The sequence below is a fragment of the Homo sapiens genome, chromosome 5, assembly GCF_000001405.40.
Source record: "Homo sapiens chromosome 5, GRCh38.p14 Primary Assembly".
NCBI classification, from domain to species: Eukaryota; Metazoa; Chordata; class Mammalia; order Primates; family Hominidae; genus Homo; species Homo sapiens.
In genome coordinates this window covers 147,029,163-147,054,154 of record NC_000005.10, presented here as the reverse complement: position 1 = coordinate 147,054,154, position 24,992 = coordinate 147,029,163, and the positions used below count along the sequence as shown (strand labels likewise).

Genomic DNA, 24,992 nt, shown 5'->3' with positions numbered 1-24,992 from the left:
GAAAAAAACCTGCTACAACAAGAACTTTTAAAGTTGTTTGTGAAAATTAAATTTCACTGATTTATTTCATTAAAATGGAAACCTCATTTTGCTTATGTCAAAACAATTTCTGCTTCACCCACTATCACCAGATTTCAGGGTGGGAGGGTGGAAAGGCATGTATTTAAATTTGTTGTAAACCTAATAAAGACAATGGGTAAGGAAAATGGCATTTGCCAAACATTAACATCGTGGAGGAGGCTCTGGGACATAGTGGAAAAGACATGGGTTATGTACCAAGGTACCAAGAAAGCAGTGCCAGGTCACTTGATTGCTCTATGCCCAGTTTTATCTATAACAAGGATGTTGAGATGAACTGTTACCACTGAATAAAGTTCTTTGTAATGCTCCACACATGATAGGTGCCGTCTGTTTTTGAGTCCCATGCCCCACGTGTTTTCTTAGATATTGAAGTTTGCTTTATTTTTCACATTACCTTAAGCAATGAGTGGTTTCCTCAAACACATCACTTTGCCACCAGAAACTGGTTACACTTACTTAAAGTTTGTCTGGGGAAAAAAGTGATCAGTATACATCTGAGGTTGTGTGTGTGTGTGTGTGTGTGTGTGTTTATATTGTTGGCAATCGTGTCACCCTGTAGTCTGTGCTAGAAAAAAAATATGGCTGTGAACTTCACATTTTATTAATTTGAAAAAGTGCAGAATGAATAGTGTGTGAATATCTCTGTGAAAGTCAAATAAATACAAATAGCCCAAACAATCTCCTTAAGAGAAACTCTAGAACTAATTTAAGAGCTTCAACAATTTCTGGGCTTCTTAGGGGATAGAACCATCCTAATTAGAAAACTTGGCTTGTCTTCCCAACTTCTCCTTGTCATTGTTTTTGTTTGTTTGTTTTGTTTTGTTTGCTTTTTTTGTGTGCGCGTGTGTTTTTTTTTTTTAATGCAGGAAGGCCATAGGTTTTGAATCTTAGCTCTGTTACATGTCAAATGAGAGATATTGAGAACTTATTTAACCTCTCTGAGGCTTAGTTTCCTCATTTAAAAATATAGGTAACAATACTCCACAGGATAGTTGCAAAAAAATACATTCAAAATGACATAGCAGGGTGATAATAATAATAGTAATAACCAGCGTTCACTTGTATTTAGTGTATCAAAGGCATTATCTAAGCACATTATATATAGTAACACATTTGTATATAGGGTAAATCAACAATATGTGGTTCACAACTATTGGTTCCTTTTTCTTCCCCTCCCTCACTCTGAGCCCTCACGCCTGCTTTTTCATACATTAGAGGAGATTTGGTTCTCCATGTAGCAGTCAGAATAATTTTTAAAAATATGATTATCTTACCACCCCACACTCTAAAACACAAACACTCACATTTAAAACCTCTCTATGGTTTCCATGGCAAGCGGGGCCTGCATATTCTGAGCCCCGCCCGACTCTCCTGCCTGAGGTCAAACATACTCCATCTTGCCTGGTCCCCAGACACACAGGCCTTCTTTGGTTCCTCAAAATTCTCCCTTCCACCATAGACTTTTGGGCTGCTTTTCTTTTCCTTCTGCCCCATTGCCTTGTTAATTCCAACCTTCAACTCTCAGCTCAAGCTCAGAAGCCATCCTGATGCTCAGCTGATCACAGCTTTTAAAGAACTGGGTTTCTTACTTCAAAGCACTTACCCTAATTTGTCATTATGAGCAAACCAATGTGACTGTTTTGTTAGTCTCTGTCTCCCTGCTGTACTGGAAGCAGGACCCACATGTAACTGTTGTACCTCCAGAACCAGAACAATACCAGGCACATTATAGGTGCTTAGTAAATTTTTGTTGAATGAAAGATGACAAATACCAAGGCTGTTGTATGGATAAATTTCCAAAACCATATGTGAAAAATATTCTGAAAAGCATTCACTCCTACATGCATGAAAATTGTTTTCATCATTGTGGCTTGGGGAGCTTTCTGTAACCATACTTTAAGGAACTAGTTTTATTATAATGTTCTTTAACTTGAAATAAGAAGATACAAACAGAAGCCAGGGCAACCAAATAGTGCAGATCCATAATCAGGGTTTTGCAAAGAGGATTGGACTGTCTTTCCTTCTCTGTGGACCTCATTAAGGAAGCACATAACTCCTTCCCCTTGGTAGGGGAGGATTCATCTACAAAAGTGGTATCAGAATTGGAGAAACAAAATTCCAATCATAGCTGTAAAGAAGCCATTCAAGCTGGGTGTGGTGGTGGGCCCCTGTAGTCCCAGCTACTTGGGAGGCTGAGGCAGGAGAATTGCTTGAACCCGGGAGGCAGAGGTTGCAGTGAGCCGAGATCACACTACTGCACTCCAGCCTGGGCGATAGAATGAGACTCCATCTCAAAAAAAAAAAAAAAAAAAAAAAAAAAGGAAGCAAAACAGAAATGAGAGAGTCAGTGAAGTATAAGGAACCTTGCCTGGTACTTTCTGGTGGACCTAATTTGGCACCAGGCACTGGAGGGCCTGTTATTGTTATCTAAGAAATCAGTAGGGACGCTTTCTTTTCCTAAAGGGACAAGGGTACTGTGACTTGCCACGTGCTTCTTCCTTTCCCGAAATTGTCTTTATCTCATTTCCATGCTGCTATTCTCTACCCATGCTTGAAAACTCAGCTTGAGTCAAGTCTTTCTAGGAAGATGTCTTCAACAACTCCAAAAATGAAGTTGTTATTATGAGTCACACAAACCACAAGGAGACTGGAAAGAAGAAATAAGAAGCAGCTTCAGCACCATGAACCCTGTGGACCACTGGCTGTGTGCTAAGGGCTGTGCCTGTCCCATCTCATTCACTCCTCACAACAGTCTTATTAAACGCCATTGTCTCCATGTTATAGATGAGGAAACTGACTCAGACGCAACCTATTCAGAACCACAGCTAGTGAAGTGGTAGAGCCAAGACTCAAGTCCAAACTCTCTGAATCCGAAATTGGTACTCTTAATCTTTATATCACACTGCACATTTCCTTCTGAGTATGAGAACAGCCTTTGGATTACATTGAAACAGTCTATTTACATGTCTGTCTCCTGAGTGGCCAGAAGCTACTTGGGCACAGGAATTCTGCCCTACTCATCTTCAGTCTTGGCATCCCGGTTTAGTGCAGAGCTTGACTCTGAGTAGATGCTCAAGAAATCCTTCTTAAATGAAGGACTCAATGGGAGGGTGGGGAGAGTGAATAAACAAACTGACCCATATTCTATCAACAATGCTCCTTCAAGAGGAGGACATATCTTAAAGCAAGTATCTTCCAGTGACACCCGGAAGCATGTTTGCTGGAAATCTACACACACACACACAGAGGGAAAAATAACATCATATTTTTCTAATTCTTTGTTATATTATAAATAATAATAATACAAGAATAAGTAAAACATAGGATGCATACTATTTGCTAGGCACAATTTCACCGTGTGTATATCAATGTAGGTATGGATGCGTGTGTGTGTGTGTGTGTTTATCCCTAACAATTCTATAAGGTCAACACTGTTATCCTCATTTTATCCATGAGAAAACCGAGTCACAGACAAGTTAAGTAGTCTAAGTTCACACAGCTGTTAAATGCAAGGGCTAGGATTAGAACCCATGCAGTCTAGTTCCAGGGTACATGCTAAGAATGGGTTCATTACTACTATATTTTGTACCTTTTTCATATTTATGGATTCTTATTTTTCATGTGTTTGAAATTCTCTTCTCAGTCCCTTTCACATATTTAGAACCAACCCACTCTTCACAGCCCACGTCAAATGCACCTCCACCCACAGCTTTCCCTGACTACTCATTTTCTCATCCATCATTCTCATCTTATAAATGCACACCTACATTTAAAGTCTTTTCCAAGTGCACACGGCATTTGTCTGTAACATGGAAATAGTAATGCTCAACTCAAGGAGTTATTGTGAGAATTAAGGAAGACAAAAACCTTACATTGTTTGATATTGCTTTATGTCTGAAACATATTTTTTGAATTTTATGTACAATGCATGAATTATCCCTGCTTTCATCTAAGGCCAAGCCTCCACTTTAAGCTGGGTCATCTCCCCTCTCTCTTACTCAAGCACATCACTCCTGCACTTGTTCCTACTTTGTCAGCACCAAGGTTTTTCTCTCTACAGGATCACGTTTTGCAGTCCACACACATGCTATAAATCATCTCATTTTAAACACTGATCTCATGAGCCTGTATCTTCCTTCACCCGCTGCCCCATCACCTGCTCCTCTTTTCAGAAAAATGCCTTGAAAGTGTCATCCACACTCACTGTCACCACCTCTCCTCTGATTTGCACTTTCTATCATGCCACCAAAATTGCTCTTGTGAGAGTCAACAATGACCACCACATTGCAGAGTCCAGTCATGCCTTTGCAGGCCTCTTCCCACTGCAGCCCTCAGCAACACTGACAGATGATTGCTCCATCCTTCCTGAAGGGATTTCTTGTCTTGGCCTCAAAACCCACTCTTTCTCTCTGTTTCCCTCTCCCTTGCAGTCTCAGACTCCCTGCTGCTTCCTTATCATCTTCCTAAACTGTAAATATTGAAGCCCAGGAATCAGTCTTCTCCTTAACATATACTTGCTCGTAAGTGATCTCATCCACTCCTATGGGCTTATATATCATTGATTTAATTTCTATATCCAACTCCAATCTCTCACCTAAAATGCAGACTTGTACATCCAACTTCCTAGCCAACCTTTCCAATCAGATGCATAGTAGAGATCTCAAAACAGACCTGTTGATTTCCCTCCTAAAAAAAAAGCCCTGTTTGTGCAGTATTCTTCTCCAGCCTAGGAAATAAGAGGGAACTCTGTTCTCCTAGAGACTCGACAAAAACATTGGAGCCATCCTCAATTTCCTTCTTTCTCTCATATCATTCTTACAATTCTATGGTACATCCTTTGGGCTTCACCTCCTAAAAATATCAGGAATCCAATTGCGTCTTATCACATCCATCATTCAAATGTTTCTTCACCAGAGAATCCTTTCCTGGCCTTCCTATGTAAAATATCTCACACACACACACACACACACACATGCTCATTCCCTTTCTCTCAAGATCGATTTCTCTCTCTCTCTGCCTCTCCTCTCACCCCCAGCTAGTTTTACCCTATTTATTTTTCCTTCACAGCCCTTATTTTTACCTGACCTGTTATACATCCATTTACTTGTTTTTTGCCTGTCCTTTCCCACTATAGAATATAAGTGACATGAAAGCAAAGGCTTTCTCTGTTTTATACATTTCTATATCTCCAGTAGGCAGAACAGTTTCTCCCACATATTAAGCATATAATAAATATTTGTGGATTGAAAGCACGAATGTATGAGTGAATGTTTATATTAAGTCTTAGTAATAAAGTAGGGGAAATGGGTTTCAAAACTAGACAAACCTGAGTTCCAATCTCAGCACTCGTAATTACCTGCTGGATGACCTTCCATTACTCAACTGGTGTATTTCCTTCTCTAATGAAAATATATCAAAGTATTGTTATGAGAGTGAAAAAAAGTGTTGTAAAACACCTAGCATAATGCCTGTGAATATTCAATGAATGGGGCATCATATTCTTCTTTCATATTTCCCACTGCATTCACCACAGCAATAACTAAGGATAGTCCATTAAATGTTTTGCTTACCTACAAAGCTAGCATTTATTGTAGGCTCATTACTTACCAGGCCCTGTGCTAAGTACTTCACAGTTACTATCTCTCAAAAATATTATGAGATAAGTACTATTCATTTTCCCCATTTTCATTTTTTACAGGTGAGCAGATAAGACACAGAAAGGCTGAGTAACCTATTGAAAACCACCCAGCCAAAATGTGATAGATCAGGGTATGCACCCATACTGCCTGACTCCAGAGTCCAGGCTCTTTGCTGCCCTACAAGACTGCCTACAACATTTCAGGCATTGTTCTTAGCACATGGGTAATTAAAAGATAAAAAACACTCATCTATTCTTTAAGGTATACAGTCTAGCAGGAGGGAAAAATGCATACGCACACAACTCTAACAGTAGGTTTTAACCCTGGCTATGCGTGAGAATCACCTTGGCAAATACACAGGGCTATCTCTACCACAGCCCTATTGAATTAAATCCCCTGGAACTGGGCCCCAGGAATCTCAGTTTCTAGCTTCCCCAAGTGAATCTTATGTACAGTCAGAGGTAAGAACTCAACAATGGCCAGGATAGAGAAATATACTACAAGGGAAGGGCTCTGGGAGAAAATCTCTCTAAAATGACAGTAGATCTGCAGCTGAAAAGAGGTTACTTTTGGTGAAGGCTTCTGATATCTGGCAGAAAAGTGGCTGCCATGGGAAGAATCAAGGTCACTGTCATCCACCTAAGTGTTCAGTGAAACTATGTTGAGCACTTATTTGCTTCAAGGTAGCTGTGAATTTGCTTTAAGAGTTTATATTCAGGTATTGGCTAAAACATCTACCTAATACACAGAAAGTCATTTTATTTCCTGGCCTTTAATTTTATCATCTATAAAAAGGGGGGGAAATTTTGCATATATCAGACAATTGCTTTGGTGAGTAAATGTGATCATTCATACCAAGTATATAGTGTATTACCCAGTGCAAATTAAGAGCTTAATAAAAATTAGCTATTATTAATACTCTTTATATTAGTAGAGGCCTCAGAAATCAATTCTTGGCCTGTGTACATTTTGGGGGGTGGAGTTTAAGAAATTTTTTTAAAATTGACAAATAATTATACATATTCATGGGGTATGTAGTGAAGTTTTGATACCTACCATGAACAGTGACCAGATTAGGGTAATTAGCATATTCATCATCTCAAACACTTATCCTCTCTTTGTGTTAGAAATGTTTAATATTCTCCTCCCAGATATTTGTAACTAAGACATTATTGTTAACTATAGTCATCATACAGTGGTATAGAACACTGGAACTTATCCCTCCTATCCAGCTGTAATTTTGTGTCCTTTAACAAATCTCTCCCTATCCCTCTCTATGCTTGTGTGTTTTGATACAACATGGTGATAGGAAGAACCCTGGGCCTGCAGTTCAGGGTCATCTAGATTCCAGTCCTCTTCACATGTGATGTCCCTTGAGAAATTGGCTAATCCTGCTATGCCTCAGAGTCAAATGACAATATAATGAAACTTGGTGGTGTTGGTGTCAGATTAAGTGATATGTGCTTTGGGAAGTATGTCCCCATCTTAAATCTTCCCATATTAAATCAGAAGCTGGGAGTGGTAACCCATTTGCAGGAGTTTCTAGTATAATCCATAAGGAACTTAGCAGAGGGAGGACGCAGACTCAAGTTTAATAAAAACCAACTGAGCACCAGGCATTCTCCCTGTGTTATCACAGGAGGATGATTATCCTAAGTCTGCATGGTATTATCCACATTTTACAGGTAAAAATAGTGAGGGAGGATTAGTGATATGAAATATTTAGTTGAAAATGCCGGCTCCTGTTTTCATTCTTTGACTCTTTCAACCTACATCACCTTGACTACTGTTTGCCTGTAACATACACTGATCAGTGCTCTTTTGATTTGTGTTTCTGGATCTATTTTTTGTCTTTGGTTCTTGTGCCCCAAGGCAATTCCTTCATTTTCACTCAATTTTATAAAACTAATAGAAAAATCACCAGCAGTGAAATCATTGCCATCATTAGAGGGACTGGCTCATTAGTTTTCTGAGTCATTGTTTCCTCACTGGCAGATTGAGCTGAGAGAAAAGATGGGCTGAGAGGGCCAAGGCCTTTATCTTCACAAGTGTCTGCAAAAGCACAGTTAGTAGAAAAAGCAAACAGGAGGCAAAGAAATGTATGACTTCGAAGATATGTATGAAAGCCTGCTCTGGATCTTATTGTTGATACACGAGAATGTCACTTTTTGGGAAATTTTGGGAGCAAATTCAGTATTCTGTCAACTGCCTTGTAAGAGCAATTATTCATTTATTTATTCATTTATTCAAAAAATACAAACACACACATAAAGAACATCTCTATTATGTGTCAGATATCAGCTGGGTGATGGGTTCACAGGTAGTAAAAATGGATATGGTTCCTGCTCTTATGGAAGGCAAATAAATTAATCTAAGAAATTAATGTAAACTGTGACAAATGCAGCAGTGGAGAGGATATGACATTAGGACAAGATCTAACGAGGCTTTATTATGCACACGAAGATCAGGAGAGCTTCCCTAAAGAAGTGTTACTTGAGCTGAGATCCGAAGGATGAGTCAAACTTAACTAGGAAGCATGAGAAAGAGGATATTTTAGGCAAAGGAGAGTACATTTGCAAGGCCCAGTCCCCAGAGGGTCATGGTGAAAGCAAGATTCTGAGGGAAAGCCAATGTAGCTGGAGCACAGAGACCAAGATGGGGTACAGTGGAGATGAAGCTATCAAGTGATGTGACCCTGTACGTCTCTGTAACATAAATTACAAAGTTTCATCTTAACCCAGAGAGCAACTGTAAATTATCGAGGGGTGTACATTTAAAAATATATATATATCATATTTGCGGCATGAAAAGATTTTTGGGACTGCTGTGAGGAGAATACATTAGAAGAGCTAAGAGCAGATTAGCACTCAGTCATGCATCGCTTAATGATGGAAATATGTTCTGAGAAATGCATGTTAGGCACTTTCATCACTGGGGAAACACAGTCTGTGCTTACACAAACCTAGATCATAGAGCCTACTACATACCCAGGCTATATGGTATAGCCTTTTGCTCCTAGGCTACAAACCTGTACAGCATGTTACAGTCCTGAATTCTGTGGGCAATTGTAACACAATGGTAAGTATTTCCAGACTTAAACATATCTAAACATAGAAAAGATTCAGTAAAAATACAATTTGAAAATCTTATGGAATCACCATCGTATATGTGGTTGATTATTGACCAAAATGTCATTATGCAGTACATGAATGTATTTTAAGGGGTGGGACACACAAAACAGAGATAAGTGGTCACTAGAAACAGTCCTTACTGTTACATTATGTAGAGTTGTAAATGGCTCTAGGCATGCCCTCAAATTCCTGAATGTCTATCTGTGACTGTATCTGAATAGAACTGCTTTATAAACATGGACACCTGTTTATTGTCTTGACATCCAGACAAAGAATTTTTTATTCTCAATAAGCAGTGGCAGAAACACATTCTGTTCTGTTTGGAATAGCAGTAAACATTCCAGGCATAGGAGTGAATTTGCTCTTCCAGGCAGACCACTTGCAAAAGCATGATGTTTGGAAGAAAAGGAAAGGCAGACTTAGGACAGAACCACTAAGAATGTTTTCATATCATGTTTATTCAGCAAGATATAGCTGCTGTGTCAAAGCCTCCATCTAGAATTGTGCATATGCTCTGCTGCATATATTCCTATAGAAACAGCAAGGCAGCCCTCTCAGGGGAGTTGACCAACAGTCAGTCTTACAAGCCAAGGTTAGGATGCCATGTCTACCTTAATTAATAATCCTTTCATCGTCCTACAACCCAGATGACAGGATGCTTAAGCATGTGAGTCAGAACCCCAAATGTAAAATCCTGCAGAAGCTTAAAAAATAAAAAAAGCATGATACTGGCTGTTATGAATTTGTGAGTTCAAGCCCTGTCTAAAGGCAACACAATTCACTTTTTAAACAAAAAAGAAAGAAAGAAAATATATTATGCAAGGAAAACAGAGCTGCCCCAGTCTTGTAGCACACCTATTCCCATCCCATTAGAAAGAATTATAAAATTTCTATGCAAGAGAAGACTTCTGAATTCATCTATGCCAGCCCTTCACAGGTGCCCTGAACCCCCTCACAACATTCCTGACCAGATAGCAACAGAGAGATTGCTCCCTCTCAAACCTGGCCATTCTACTTCTGGACAATGCCAAGTATGCCTAAGTCTTTAAATTGCACTGAAATCTATTTCTTAGAACTACTAAATAAGAAACCTGAGGCCCTTTCCACATGAAAACTCAACATGAGAATGAGGAGGGTTTTCATACTCTGTACAGCCTAAAGATTTCAAATTCCTTCAAGCAGGGCCCTGTGACTTCAGGGTGGTAATAAGCATTTAGGTGGCTAGCCCTATTCTAATGTTTTAATGTATTAGCTCACTTAGTGCTAATTACAGTCTAGTTAAGGGAAAGCATTTATTGTCCCCATTTTACAGATGCAGACACCAAAGCCCAGAAAGATAAGTAAGTTGCCCAAAGTCACATAGTTAGCAAGCAGGAGAGGTGGGATTTGGACCCAGGTAGGCTGGCTCCACACCTCTGTTCTCCCGCTTCTGAGATGTAGGGAAAACACAGGCTTTACTGTTACAGTCCTGCATTTGAATAAAAGCTCCAACATGTCCCCTGGCCAACTGACTGCCCCTAAGTAAGCCTCTGTTTCTTTATCTGTAAGGTGATGGTCATAAAGCTTACTTCAGTATTGCTGTGAGATTAAATAAAATAATGCATGCAAAGAAGCAGCACAGTGCCTTGCACATACTGAGCATGCAGCAAAGTCTGAGGAAGTAAATAGGTGAATAATTAAATAAAGACCTCCTGGTCCTACCCTCCTGTATTAGTTTGCTAAGGCTGCCATATCAAAATGCCCGAGTCTGGGTGGCTTAAACAACAGTAGTTTATTTTCTCACAGTTCTGGAGGCTGAAAGTATCAGATCCAGGTCCCAGCAGGCTGGTTTCTCCTAGGGTCTCTCTCCTTGGCTTGCTGACGACCGTCTTCTCAACTGAGTCCTCACGTGGTCTTTTCTCTGCGTTTCTCTTCTTGCAAAAACACCACCAGTCCTGCTAGATTAAGGTCCCACCCCTAATAACCTCATTTAACCATAATTACCTCCTTAATGGCCCTATTATTAAATGCAGCCACATTGGGGGTTGGGGCTTCAAACTATGACTTTGCAGGGGGACACAATTTAGTCCATAGCACCTCCCTCCCAAAGCTTTCTTATTCTTTGCCCCAATTCTCAAGCAAAAGACCTATTTTAGGTTGTCTTCAGGAGTTCAGCCAGGAACAGGGAGTTACAGCATAAATAAGGACAAAAGACTAAGAACAGGTGTATAATATATTATCACTGCAAATCATTGTTCCACAATCCAGACTGTATAGTATTCTGCAGCCTAGAAATAACGCAAACAAGCTACAAGGTATTAGCCCCTGATCTCCTCTAACTCCTCTTCACTCACCTCACTCCAGCCACACTGGACTCATTGCTGTTCTTCAAACAGACCACGTACATCCCCTCTCCAGGGCCTTTCTACTTGTGGCTCCCTCCGTCTGGAATGCTCTTCCCTCAGCCACATGGTTCTTTTCCTTACTTCTTTTGTCTTTGCACAATCATCCTACATACAAACCTTCCTGCCTACTTTGTCTGAAAAGCACACCTCCCATCACTCACCCTTCATCTCACTGCCTAGATTTTCTTACTACTTGACATATTATGTATTTGTTTATCATTTCTTTCTCTTGCTAGACTGCTGGCTCCGTGAGAACAGGGACTTTGTGTTTTTGCTCATTATTTTACCTGGCATATAGTAGTGAATGATAAATCTTTGTTGGATGAATGAATAATCATCATGGTTAGTAGCAGCAAAAGGCTAAAAGTTTTTGTCTACCTTTTTCTAGGACAGTAGTTTCCAAATGTTAGCTACCATAAATAAGAATTATCTACAGTATTTGGCTTAAAATGAAGATTTGTACTCAGTAACCAAAAATCTGGGTAGTCCTATGGCATTTTTAATTAGGAGATCTCAAAGCAATCCCCCACCCTGTTGTTGTACCTGAGCGAGTTATAGAAAACGCCACACTTGGAAACGAATTGAGTCCGCTTGTTTAGCCGGCAGCCAAGAGACGGCTAATGCTCAAAGTTCTCTCGGCCCTGAAGAAGGGGCTAGATTTTCTTTTATACTTTGGTTTAGAAAGGGGAGGGGGGGGTCTAGTTAAAACAATTTTACAGAAGTAAAGTAGGCAAAAAGTTAAAAGGATAAATGGTTACAGGAAAGTAAACAGTTCCAGGTGCAGGGGCTTTAAGACTATTACAAGGTGATAGACGTGGGGATTTGGGCGTTATCAATCGGACGAATTCCTGGGAACTGCGGATATAGCTCGCCACAGTATCTTATCAGTTAATTGCATTCTTGGATGTGCTGGGAGTCAGCTTGCACAAGTTAAATCCTTGAGGAAGGGGCTGCCAGTGAAAGAGCCAAGATGGAGTCTGTCTGGCTCTCTTAGCTAAGGGAGGGTCAATTCAGGTGGAAGCAAGGCTAGGTGATTAAAGGAAAGGGAGAGTCTAAAAATAGCGTTAGTAAAAACAAGGTTGGGCATTACACTGTCATCAACAAAGCTTTGTCACTGAGGTGTTAGACACCATGAAGCTATGGTAGAAAAGGGTTAAACAAATGAATAAAAAGCAAATAATAAAAATAAAGAAAATGAAGATCTGGGGACTTACAGCCCCCCTAAAGCTCTGAATCAGTAGATCCTGAGCTAAGCCCAAGAATCACCGTCTTCAGGAAGTACCCCAGTGCCTTCTAAGGAAAAAACTCTAAGTGTAATACTTCAAGAAACTTTGTCCTAGGATGACAAAGTTAAAAAAAAAATGGCACCACTGAACTTTGCGTAGTCTCCTCCCTCCTTCCATGTCTAGTTCAGGGTATGGAAACTCTGGACTTAGCACCAGGGAACAATGATGGTGGAGAAAAGGGGATTAGATTTGCTGTTTATAATGCCCAATTCTCTAAGTCTCAGTTGGAGAGAGCATAGCTGCAGAATGCTGAAGGAAGGGTCTTACAGGTGAACTCAGAAGCAAAGGAACAATGTCAATTTTCTCCCTTGCCTGTGAACAGAGCTATTTTCTAGATGGCTGCTACAGCCTGTGAGGAGAGGAGGGCACCCACTGGCCCTTGGCAGTCCTCATCGAGTCAGACAGCCAGAGTTGGAAGTGACATGGAAGCCCTTTTTAGATCCTGCCCACCATCTTGCAGAGCGGTTAACCCAAAACCCTTGGGTGAGCTTCCCAAAACCACACAGAGAATTAGTGTAAACTACCAGGACTGAACCAGCCTGTGGACTCCAGAGTGGTGTTTTGGCCTCTGTACTTACATGCAAAGTGGTTTGACTGTTTCTGACATTCCTGGGAATACCTTAGAACAATGTGCTGACCTGAGTAGTAACTCTGTGAAGAGGGGAAAACACCTCAAGGATACACTATAAAGAATCGACTACCTTTCACTTGGCAGGCTTGTGTCTTGATAAGCCCTCAGGAGAGAACCAGCCTCAAGGTATTTTTAAATGGCTGAGGGAGGTATGTGTAATGGCACTATTATTTTACAGTTTTTTTTTTTTTTTTAAGGAAACTCATCTTTTCTTGAAATTGGCCCTATTTACACACAGAATGAGCTGAAAAGACTTCGCTGTTATTAAACCTTCAAGAATGTTCTCGTAAGTGCTACCTTCCTCACACGGAGTACCTAACAAGGTCATTCAGGGCCAGGGTATATGTTACATGTTTGCTCACACTGAGCCCCTGAAGCATCACTAAGTAAAGGGCCAAGCCTGAGTATTTTGAGCTCAGGGCGGGGGATTTGGGACAGTCATTTATTATGAACTGGTTCTCCTACAATTTCTCCAGTCCAATCTCAAGCATGACCCTATGCCAGCTTGCATTTGTCCCTGTCTAACTGACCTGGGCTAAGCTTTCTGTACCTGCTGGGAACAGCCTCCTCCAAATTCACTTTATTTGCAGTATTTCTAGTCTTCTGTTTGGAAATTGTTTTAAACTTTGATTCAGATAAATTAGAGCTGAGATGATAAATGGAAGTGATCCTATAGGTGAGGCAGTGGCCAAAGCTCTCATTACAATTCTCTGTTGATCCTCAGATATGCTAGGGTATCATACAAAATTATTTATTTGAATAATTATTTATTTGAAACAACATTATCAGGTCATAGCATAGACCTCACCAAACTGATTAGAGTTTGAGGCTTCCAGTGATACCCAATGTTCATTTAAAAACCCACTTGCCCAGCAAGACCTGATTTTATGGCATGGAAGAAGAAAGGCATCTTCACTCCATGAATTTTAGCTTTTTATAAGTGAGGCTCTCAAAGCTTGCCACTTAACAGGGTCAACAAATGAAATAAGATACGTAAAACATCTAAAACAGTGCCTGGGGCTTAGAAGGGACTCAATAAATGTTTCATTCTGCTCTTCCACTTGCCTTTGTCTACAGAGGAAATTTAGTGTTGGGCCATTTGTTGGTCCCTTTATTAAGTATTACTTGAGCACCTACTATGTGTTCAGCATGCTTCTAGACACTGAGTACACAGCACTGTAAAGGACAGATGGATCTCTGCTCTCATCTTACATTCTGGTGGGAGGAAATGGTTGATTAATCATGGCAAGCATTAGATCCAAATTAAGGTGGGAACTAAAAATAAGACATGAACAAGCAGATTCAGATAAAATTGAAATGATGAACTTGCATATACTTAACTGCAGAAGTTGCCTTCAAATTGGTCCTCCTGCAAGTAGCCTTCATAGATGGTCTCCGTGGTAGGTTTCTGAGCAGTTGTGGCTAATTTGGGTGCTTACTGGTAAGTATTTCTCAGGCCCCAGTTGCAGATCTCTCTTTTCCCATCTTGTACTCTAATTCTGCACAGAATGTGGGCAGATGCATGATCCTGCACAGAAGTAGAGCCCCCCGGGATCTATCTGGGTCTTCAGACCCAAGGGACAGCATTCATTTCTTCAGTGTTTTTGAAGCCTCTGTGATGTACAGGCAGAGATCAGGCTCTGGACCAATTACAATGAATACTGCCACCCACCTCATGGCACTTGCATATTAGTAGGGGAAAATAGCCATGGGGAACATCAGTAACTTTTAACATAGTGATAAGGGCTGGGAACATAAAAACAGGGTAAATCATTACAGTGACTGAGGGGTGATGGGCTACCAGGAATTGGGCAGACAGGGAAGGCATCTCTGAAGAGGTGCATTTGAGCTGAGGCTTGACTGATGGGAAAGGGTCAGCAATGCGAAGAGCCCAGTGGGGAGCATTCCAGGCAGAGGGACCTGCAAGCACAGAGGACTGGACAAAGGCTGGAATAAATTCAATGTAGTATTCAAGGAATAGAAAGGTCTTTGTGGAATACTGTATCTTTTCATGGTGGGGGTTGCAGTTGTGTTTAAAAAAAATCAATAATCTCAAATACTTAAGCCCTCCTACTTCATTATACTTTTTAAAGAAGCAGTGTATCTTAGCAGTTAGAAAACTTGGATTCTGGAGGCAGTTTACTTAATCCTACAAGGGGATAATTTGGCCCTAGATCAGACCACCTGGGTTCAATCCTGGATTTTTCTACCTACTAGCTAAGTGACGTTGAGCAACTTACAGAATCTTACTGTGCCTTGTTTGCCATAAAAAGAAGATAATAATAATCCTATTGCACAGAAATCATTTGATGATAAACTGGGATAATGAACATAAAGTTTTGACCAGCATAGGGAAAGTATCCAAAATATGTTGGCTATTATAATTCGTTCCTTGTTTCCTCTAGAAGTTTATTTTCTTGATCATTGTTGCCATCCTTTTATCGCACCAGCCACTCATTGAACAGAATTCTAAACATAAAGTAGAAAATAGTTTCCCAAGAACTTTATAATTTGGGTGCAGTTGAAATCTTTGAAAAATTATCAATGTAATTTAATAAAGGAAGTGTTTAAAGTAATTTAATAATGTCACTTAAAATTCTCATTAAATTGATTCTAGGCCCTGGAGAATTCAATCCCCAGGGGACACTATATAGTATTCCTCCATCAAACTCGTTCTCCTTTCCCTGATTTTTCATAGCTTTTATCACCCATTCATGTTACGCATTTACTTATTTTGTTGCTTAACTTATAAGAATGTAAGCTCTATGAGAACAAGGATTTGGCCTGCTTGTTCAATGAGCCATCCCCAGTTCCCTCTGATAGTGTTCAAATAATAGAGCTCAATAACTTCTTGTTTACTGAATTTATGTCTCTATAAACCCCTAAAAACTATACCAGGAAGTGGGTTTGCTAATGGGTCAAAGAACCTTGGTTCTAAAAGTATCCCATAACACAATCTGAGTGCCAGCTTCTCCGTGACCCAGGAGGGCAATGATTCGCCAACAGGAACTGATCTAATAAATACAAAACATTATATAACTTTATTACTCATTCCCTCAACAAACATTTATTAGGTCTTGACTTTATGCCAGGCAGAATATTAGATGCTGGTAAACAAGGGTAAATAAAACAGAGTCCCTGGAGAGTACAGTCTTGTAGTTAATCACTCTAATTCTTATAAAAATTAATATTATCTGTTCTTATGAATCTGAAGACTAGAACCTAGAGAATAAATAAAGCCTTCTGGCAATGTGCCTGTGAGTGGGCAGTTAGGAAATGCTGCTCCCAGTCTGACTCATCCCTCCTCACACCACTCTTAGGGTATTGGTGGTTTTCAGTACTATTCTGTGCCATTCTACAGATGGCGTAGATACATATCCCATGATACACAAAAGTTTCTTGCTCACTCAACACATACTTTTACACACACATACACCCCAATGTAAAATTCTCAAAATGAATGTTAGCACAAAAATGAATGTTAGGAAACAAATAACCTGAATACATAAATGTATTTATGTATATATTGATACATATATATATTTATAATTACATACCTATATATACATATACATATATGTACATACACACACACACACACCCCTTTGTCTGTCTCAGAGATTCAAGGATAAGTTCCCATCCTACTTTTTTTTGCCTAACAATTTACTCACATGTAGCTATGTTTTTCTTGCATCATAATGCCAGAAGTCACTCTGTCTTTAGCCCTTTCTGATTTGAATACTGGTTACCTAAATAAGCCTGTGGTATAGACTCTTTCAGACAATTGGTTCCACAGCCCCTGTTGCTGTGATTTAACTATCTTAGGCAAAAATAATTTTTTTTCCCTGAAGCTACTGTAGTTTCCTTCAAGAGCTGTATGCTGGAGTGGTTAAACTCTCGTTAGACTGCCTGGGTTCCCTGTGCTCTACTGTATGCTAACGTGGGCAAAGTTACTTCACCTCTCTGGCATACAGTTTGCTCATCTAAAAACTTGAGTCATAATAAGACTGTATAGGATTAACGTGGAATTAAATGAGCTAATTCATGGAGGGGTTAGCAAAATTTCTGACACATTTCAATAGCTTAATAGAATTTGTTGATTTTCTTTTTCATACTTCCTCTCCATTGCAACCATCACTGGCTAATCTAGACACAAATTAAGCCATTACTAAATTTCACAAAAAGTCTTTCTAATGCTATGGGTCAATGGATTTTAAGGGCAGGGTTAATCCTCCAAATGCGTAAAATAATTGCATTTAATCAAAACCACAATGAAATACCATCTCACAGTCAGAATGGCTATTATTAAAAAGTCAAAAATACAAGAGATTCTGGTGAGGTTGTGGAGAACAAGGAATGCTTTTACCCTATTGGTGGGAAGGTAAACTAGTTCAACCATTGTGGAAGACAGTGTGGCAATTCCTCAAAGTCTTAGAAGCAGAACTACCATTTGACTCAGCAATCCCATTACTGGGTATATACCCAAATGAATATAAATTGTTCTATTATAAAGATATATGCATGTATATGTTCATTACAGAATTATTCACAATAGCAAAGACATGGAGTCAACCTAAGTGCCCATCGATGATAGACTGGATAAAGAAAATGTGGTACATAGACACCATGGAATACTGTGCAGCCATAAAAAGGAATGAGATCATGTCCTTTTCAGGGACATGGATGGAGCTGGAGGCCATTATCCTTGGCAAACTAGCACAGGAACAGAAAACCAAATACTGCATGTTATGTCTTATAAGTGGGAGCTCAATGATGAGAACACAATGACACATTGGGGGAACAACACACACTGGGGTCTGTTGGAAGGTGGAGGGTGGGAGGATGGAGAGCATCAGGAAGAAAATAGCTAATGGATTCTGGGCTTAGTTCCTGGGTGATGGGATGATGTGTGCAGCAAACCACCATGGTACACGTTTACCTATGTAACAAACCTGCACATCCTGCACATGTATCCCTGAACTTAAAATAAAAGTTGGAAATTTTAAAAAATAATCACTGTACTTTATACACAAAATAGTAATACAGAACACTAAAATTCTAAGAAAATCCATTGAGAAAAAGCAACATTTATTACAACACTTTGTGAAGTGATTTAGCATGATTATATTTTTATAGTACCAAACAACCAGGTAGAAAATTAAAATTTTAATCAATTATCTAGACATCCAAACTGTTTTTTTTTCCCTTCAGTTTTCATTAAAACATTTGCAGTTATATTAAGACAGACTCTTGGTCTTTGAGGTTGTTTATCTTCCTAAGATTTTTCTTAACTATTTTTCTCTTTCCATTCTCTCCTATTTCAAACTAAACTCCTTGGCAGATGTAAATGACTTTCTACTTTGCATGTAATTTTGTTTCTTGGATAACAGAATAAATATGTCAAGCTAAGCCCCAAGATTAAATGGTCAAGCAAAGTCAGTCTTTCTGATTTTCCTGAACCCAAAGCCTTGAGAGTCTACTTATTAGTGGGTTGTTCTAACAGAAGACAAAGGAATTCAGAGAGAATGACCTGACTTTGGTTTGTCCCTCTGATATGGTTTGGCTGTGTGTCCCCACCCAAATCTCATGTCAAATTGTAACCCCCACATGTTGAAGAAGGGAACTCGGGGGAGGTGATTGGATCATGGGGGAGGCCTTCCCCCTTGCTGTTCTCGTGATAGAGTTCTCATGAGATCTAATGGTTGAAAAGTGTGGCACCTTCTCCCCTCACTCTCTCTCTTTCTCTCCTGCTACCATGTAAGATGTGCCTTGCTTCCCCTTCGCCTTCTGCCATGATTGTAAGTTTCCTGAGACCTCCCCAGCCATGCAGAACTGTGAGTCAATTAAACTTTTCTTTATAATTTACCCAGTCTCAGGCAGTTATTTATACAATAGCTGTGTGAGAACGAACTAATGCACCTTCCTTCTGGGAATGATGTTAAATGAGCTGAGTTCAGAGATTGCTACCAAAGTTTTATCTGGCTGTCATGATATGAAGTGTTCTCTCTCCCTTCCTCTTCCTCCCCCCACCCCACACCTCCCTCCTTCTACCACCATCACTGATTACCAAAAGGGTTGTTTTAAAAAAGTTTCAGTCATCAGTTATCCAAAGTCTATCTTATCATTACCTGGTTCCTAAAGTTCACTTGAGAAAGTAAAATGAAATACTGGTTAGCTTTGTGGTCTTGAGAAACTAATGGAAACATTCCAAAACTCATACATCTTATCTATAAAGTACACTTTATAATAGGATCTAATTTAGAGGGTTGATGTAATAAATAAATGAGATAATCTAGCACATTGACAGGAATAAAAGATCAATTGAACATATACAATCATTATTATTACAAGAAATATGTAATAGTTCTATAAGAAGAGACAGGGTATAGGGAAAAAATTACGGATTTTAAACTTTACTTATTTCCCTTTAAGTAAAGAAAAAATAAACATGGACTCATTCCAAAGAAATGACATTTAGAAGAGCAGTGGCATGAGAGCTTGAGAGTATATTCCTTTCATTGTCATTCACTGCGATATTCCACAGATAAGTAATAAGGACCTACTATGGGTCATTATTTTATTATGGGTCACTATTATTTTAGATGCTGGGAAAATGGTAATGAATAAAACAGACAATAAAAGGAAAAATATTCTAGAAAATAACTTGAGTTAGCTATAAAAAATGTGAAGAAGATAATACAGGATAGTGTGATAATGAAAGATTGAGTGGCCATTAAATATGGTGGTCCAGGAAGCTAAAGATTTGAAGGACATGAGGTCATCAGCCATACAAAAACCAGGGGAGAGGATCTTCTAGACAGAGGGAAAAGCAAGTAAAAGGGACCTTAAGCAATAATGAGCTTACTATGTTAGCATAAAAGAAAGCAGAGCAGTGTGGCTAGAGCTTAGTTTGCAAGGGGAAGAATGATGAAGCCAGAGTCAGTATGGAAGGTAGGCGCTAGGCCATATATGGCCTTAAACACCATAGTAAGAAACTTAGCTTTATTTTCAGTGTAATAGGAAACCTTTGCAGTTTAAAGTAGGTCAAGGACTTAATTTTTTTTGTTATTTTTAAGGTATTTGGTTGCTGTGTGGAGATAAATGATAGGGAAATAAGAGTAGGAGGCAAGAATACCAATAAGAGGCTATCACAGTGGACAAGAAAGGACAGAGGCTTGGATTAATGCAACAGCAGAGAAGATGTAAAGAAATGAATAGATATTGGATCAATTATTTTGGAGGCAGAGTTGATAGGATTGCTAGTAAATTGGATAAGTTTAAGTATGGTGTCAATGAGGGAAATATGAGTGGCATCCCTGTGATGAAGGCTTGACTTGCTATGTAGGCTTATAGATAGCAAAGAATGAGGATGAATCATTACCTCCCAACCCACCATCTGTCTCCATCCCAAACCCCCTAAAACCTTCCCAACCCCATTCCAGTCAGAAGTCATCTAAGCAAAAAGAAGTACAATCTAGCTATGAGTATCTTCTCGGGTTCATTCCACAAATAGTCATTCATATCTGTTACTATGTTCTAGACTAAGTTATGAGTACTGGTCATACAGTAGCAAGCAAGATAGACACACCTCTGTTCCAATGCAACTTATGTTCTAATGGGAGAAGTTAGTAAGATTAACTTTGAGTTGTGTATCATCCCTCCATGGAGTGACATCAAATAGGCCATGAGTTTTGGGAAGAGAACAGAATGAGAGGTATAGATGGTAGTTAAAGCCATGCACATGGGTGGTTATTAAGAGAAAAAGTAGAAATTGAAAATAGAAGGAGGCCCAGGACCAAACATTTATTGGCCTGACTTCCTGGTCAGTAATCTTCTCTACTGTTATAGTACAGCAGCTTTTAGGTCCACTGATTGCATTCTTAATTTGAGTATTTAATATTTATTTTATTAACCTAAGGTTTTCATTTGTCACTATAGCATGGTCTCATAATTTTCAAAAAATCAGAAAACAGTAGATGTTGGCGTGGATGCAGTGAACAGGGAACACTTCTACACTGCTGGTGGGAATGTAAACTAGTACAGCCACTATGGAAAACAATAAGGAGAGTTTGGAAATTCTTTAAAGAACTAAAAGTAGAACTACCATTTGATCCAGAAATCCCACAACTGGGTATCTACCCAGAGGAAAAGAAGTCATTATTCGAAAAAGATACTTGCACACGCACGTTTATAGCAGCACAATTTACAATAGCAAAATTGTGGAACCAATCCAAATGCCCATCAATAAACAAGTGGATAAAGAAACTGTGGTATATATACATAAGATGGAATACTACACAGCCATAAATAAGAATGAATTAACAGCATTTGCAGTGATCTGGATGAGAATGGAGACTATATTCTAAGTGAAGTAACTCAAGAATGGAACACCAAACATCTGTGTTTTCACTGATATGTGAGAGCTAAGCTATGAGGATGCAAAGGCATAAGAATGATACAGTGGACTTTGGGGACTCGGGGGAAAGAGGGAGAGGGGGGTGAGAGCTAAAATACTATAAATATGGTGCAGAGTGTACTGCTTGGGTGATAGGTGAACCAAAATCTCACAAATCACCACTAAAGAACTTATTCATGTAACCAAACGAGATAGACACACCTCTGTTCCAGTGCCATTCTTACAGGAGTAAGGTGGTATCACATTGCGGTCTTGATTTGCATTTCTCTGATCATTAGTGATGTTGAGCATTTTTTCATATATTTGTTGGCCATTTGTGTATCTTCTTTTGAGAATTGTCTATTCATGTCCTTAGCCCACTTTTTGATGGGATTGTTTGTTTTTTTCTTACTGATTTGTTTGAGTTCGTTGTAGATTCTGGATATTAGTCCTTTGTCAGATGTATAGATTGTGAAGATTTTCTCCCAGTCTATAGGTTGTCTGTTTACTCTGCTGACTGTTCCTTTTGCTGTACAAAAAGCTCTTTAGTTTAATTAGGTCCCAGCTATTTATCTTTGTTTTTATTGCATTTGCTTTGAGTTCTTGGTCATTAAATCCTTGCCTAAGCCAATGTCTAGAGGGTTCTTTCCAATGTTATCTTCTAGAATTTTTATAGTTTCAGGTCTTCAGTTTAGCTTGTTAATCCATCTTGAGTCGATTTTTGAATAAGGTGAGAGTTGAGAATCCAGTTTCATTATCCTACATGTGGCTAGGCAATTATCCCAGCACCATTTGTGGAAAAGAGTGTCCTTTCCCCACTTTATGTTTTTGTTTGCTTTGTGGAAGATCAGTTGACTGTAAGTATTTGAGTTTATTTCTGGTTCTTTATTCTTTTCCATTGGTCTATGTGCCTAAGTATAAAGGATAGAAAATAAGAAAAAAGCCTAAAGATACAAGGGACATAGTAACATATTTTTTATTGAGGTCTAAGAAGTATGACAGAGAGGTAATGAGCAATATCAATATTTGAGGAGATACCAGCTGAGATTTTTCTAAAATTTATGAAAACCATTGAACTACAGATTTAAGAACTGTTATTAACTCCAGTCAAGATAAATTAAAAAAAAAAGCAATGCCTAGACACATCATAGTAGAACTGCTAAAAAGAAAACCAAAATCTTAAAAATAGAGAGAAACACATACTACTATGAAAACAAAAACAGTTGGACAGCTGAATTTTAAATGAAATTATGGAACCCCAAAGACAATAGTCACAGCTTTAAAATGCTGAAAGGAGCCAACTGCCACTCTTGAATGCTCTATCTAATAAAATAACCCTTAAGATAAAAGCAAAATAAAGATTTTTTTTTTTTGAGGTGGAGTCTCGCTGTTGCCCAGGCTGGAGTGCCATGGCGTGATCTCAGCTCACTGCAAGCTCCGCCTCCCGGGTTCACGCCATTCTCCTGCCTCAGCCTCCCGAGTGGCTGGGACTACAGGGGCCCGCCACCATGCCCAGCTAATTTTTTGCATTTTTTAGTAGAGACGGGGTTTTACCGTGTTAGTCAGGATGGTCTCGATCTCCTGACCTCGTGATCCGCCCGCCTTGGCCTCTCAAAGTGCTGGGATTACAGGCGTGAGCCACCGCGCACGGCCATAAAGATGTTTTTAAACGAGTAAAATATGAGATAATTTATTGCAAGGAGAGACATGCATTTAAAATACAGAAGTGAGTGAACCATAATGAAAAGTGTTGTATGTTGATAGAAAAATGAACAGAAATAATAACGTCATGTAAAGTTTAAAACAGGGGACAAAAATAACACAAATAACAGAAGGAAGGGATTAAGGGAGTTAAAGTTATTAAGCTCTCTTAGACTTTCGGGGAAGTAGTAAGATAGCTAATATAAATTAGACTTTAATAATTAATAGATGTATGTTGCAATTTCTGGTGCAATCAATATTTTTTAAATGGTAAAATAATTCATCAGTTACAAGCTAATAGAGGGAAATTTCAGAAGTTAAAAATACATTCCTAGCCCAAAATAAAACAAATAAACCTATGGTAGTTACATTAATTGTAAATGGACTAAAAAGCTAAAGGCTAGTTCTAGAACTGAATTTTTAAAAATTATATTATCAATAAGCATGAAAAAAAATCTCTCAGCAAGCTTCATGTAGAAGGGAACTTTTTAATGGGATATTTTCATAGAAAATATGAAAGTACTTATAGGCAAACTATTAGAATCAACAGGTGATTTTGCAAGGTGTTTAGATACCTAATTAACATGTAAAATGAACTTATATCTTCACATGATAATAAAAAACATTTAAAATGATTTGGGGGGTTATATCATTTATAAGAGCAACATAACATCAACTACTTAGGAATAAATCTAAGTACAGAGGGTCAAAACATCAATACCAAAAAACTTTATTAGCAGAAAGTAAGGAAGACAAGTGACTGGAGGAATATATCATGTTCACAGATGGAAAGACTCAATATTGTAAAGTTGTTTATTCTTTCCTAGGTGATATACAGCAACATGCAATTCTAATAAAAATTTCAGGATTGTTTTTGTGGAAACTGAAAAGCTAATTCTTAATTTATATAGAAATGTAAAGCACAAAAAGCCAGCCAACACAATTGGAAGAATAGTAGAGGAATTTTCCACTTATATTAGTCAGCTGGGGCTGCCATAACAGAATATCAGAGACTGGGTAGCTTCAACAATAGAGATTGATTTTCTTAAAGTTCCAGAGGCTAGATTAAGGTGCTGGCGGGATGGGTTTCTGGTGAAGCCTCTCTTCTTGGCTTGCAGACAGCTTCCTTCTTGCTCTGACCTCACATGGCCTTTCCTTTATGCGTGCCCACTCTTGGTGTCTTTTCCTTTTCTTATAAGTATACCAGTCCTATTGCATCAGGACCTCACTTTTATAACCTTATTTAACCTTATTTACCTCCTTAAAGACCCTTTATCCAAATATTGTCACATTGGGAGGTTAGGGTTTTAATATATAAATTTGCAGGGGGGCACAGTTCAGTCTAGAACACCATCTATTAAGATATCTTATAAAGCATCAATAATTAAGATATTGGGTATTGGATACAGGACAAACAAACAAATCAATGGAATATAATAAAGTCCAGAAACACATTTATATGGATTGCCAATCTTTTGAAAAGATGGCATTGCAGAGCAATGGAGAAAATGTGGTCTTTTCAATAAATGGTGTGGAGAAAATTTGAAATTATTTGGGGAGAAATAATCTTGGTCCCTACCACAGGCACATAAAGCAATTTCAGATGAAATGTTTAAAATGTGTAAAATAAAACACTAAACTTTCTAGACTATAACATAAGATAAAATATTGACAACCTTAGGTAGGTTAAAACGTTTAAAATGACATAAAAGGTGATAATAATCATAGAAGGAAATATTGATAA

The 24,992-nt window shown here is 38.7% G+C and overlaps 1 protein-coding gene across 6 annotated transcripts in view; it reads left to right on the top strand.

The window, feature by feature from the left end:
• The window catches only part of PPP2R2B (protein phosphatase 2 regulatory subunit Bbeta), a 500,779-nt gene that overhangs the window by 27,366 nt on the left and 448,421 nt on the right, over positions 1-24,992 (top strand). The window contains exon 3 of one of the 6 annotated variants that reach the window (NM_181677.2): positions 18,915-18,986. The exons of the other annotated variants lie outside the window; for them this stretch is intronic. Within the exon in view, the coding sequence (NP_858063.1) occupies positions 18,977-18,986 (10 nt within the window). The 5' untranslated portion in view covers positions 18,915-18,976. The remainder of the gene's footprint in view (positions 1-18,914; positions 18,987-24,992) is intronic. 6 annotated transcript variants of the gene reach the window in all.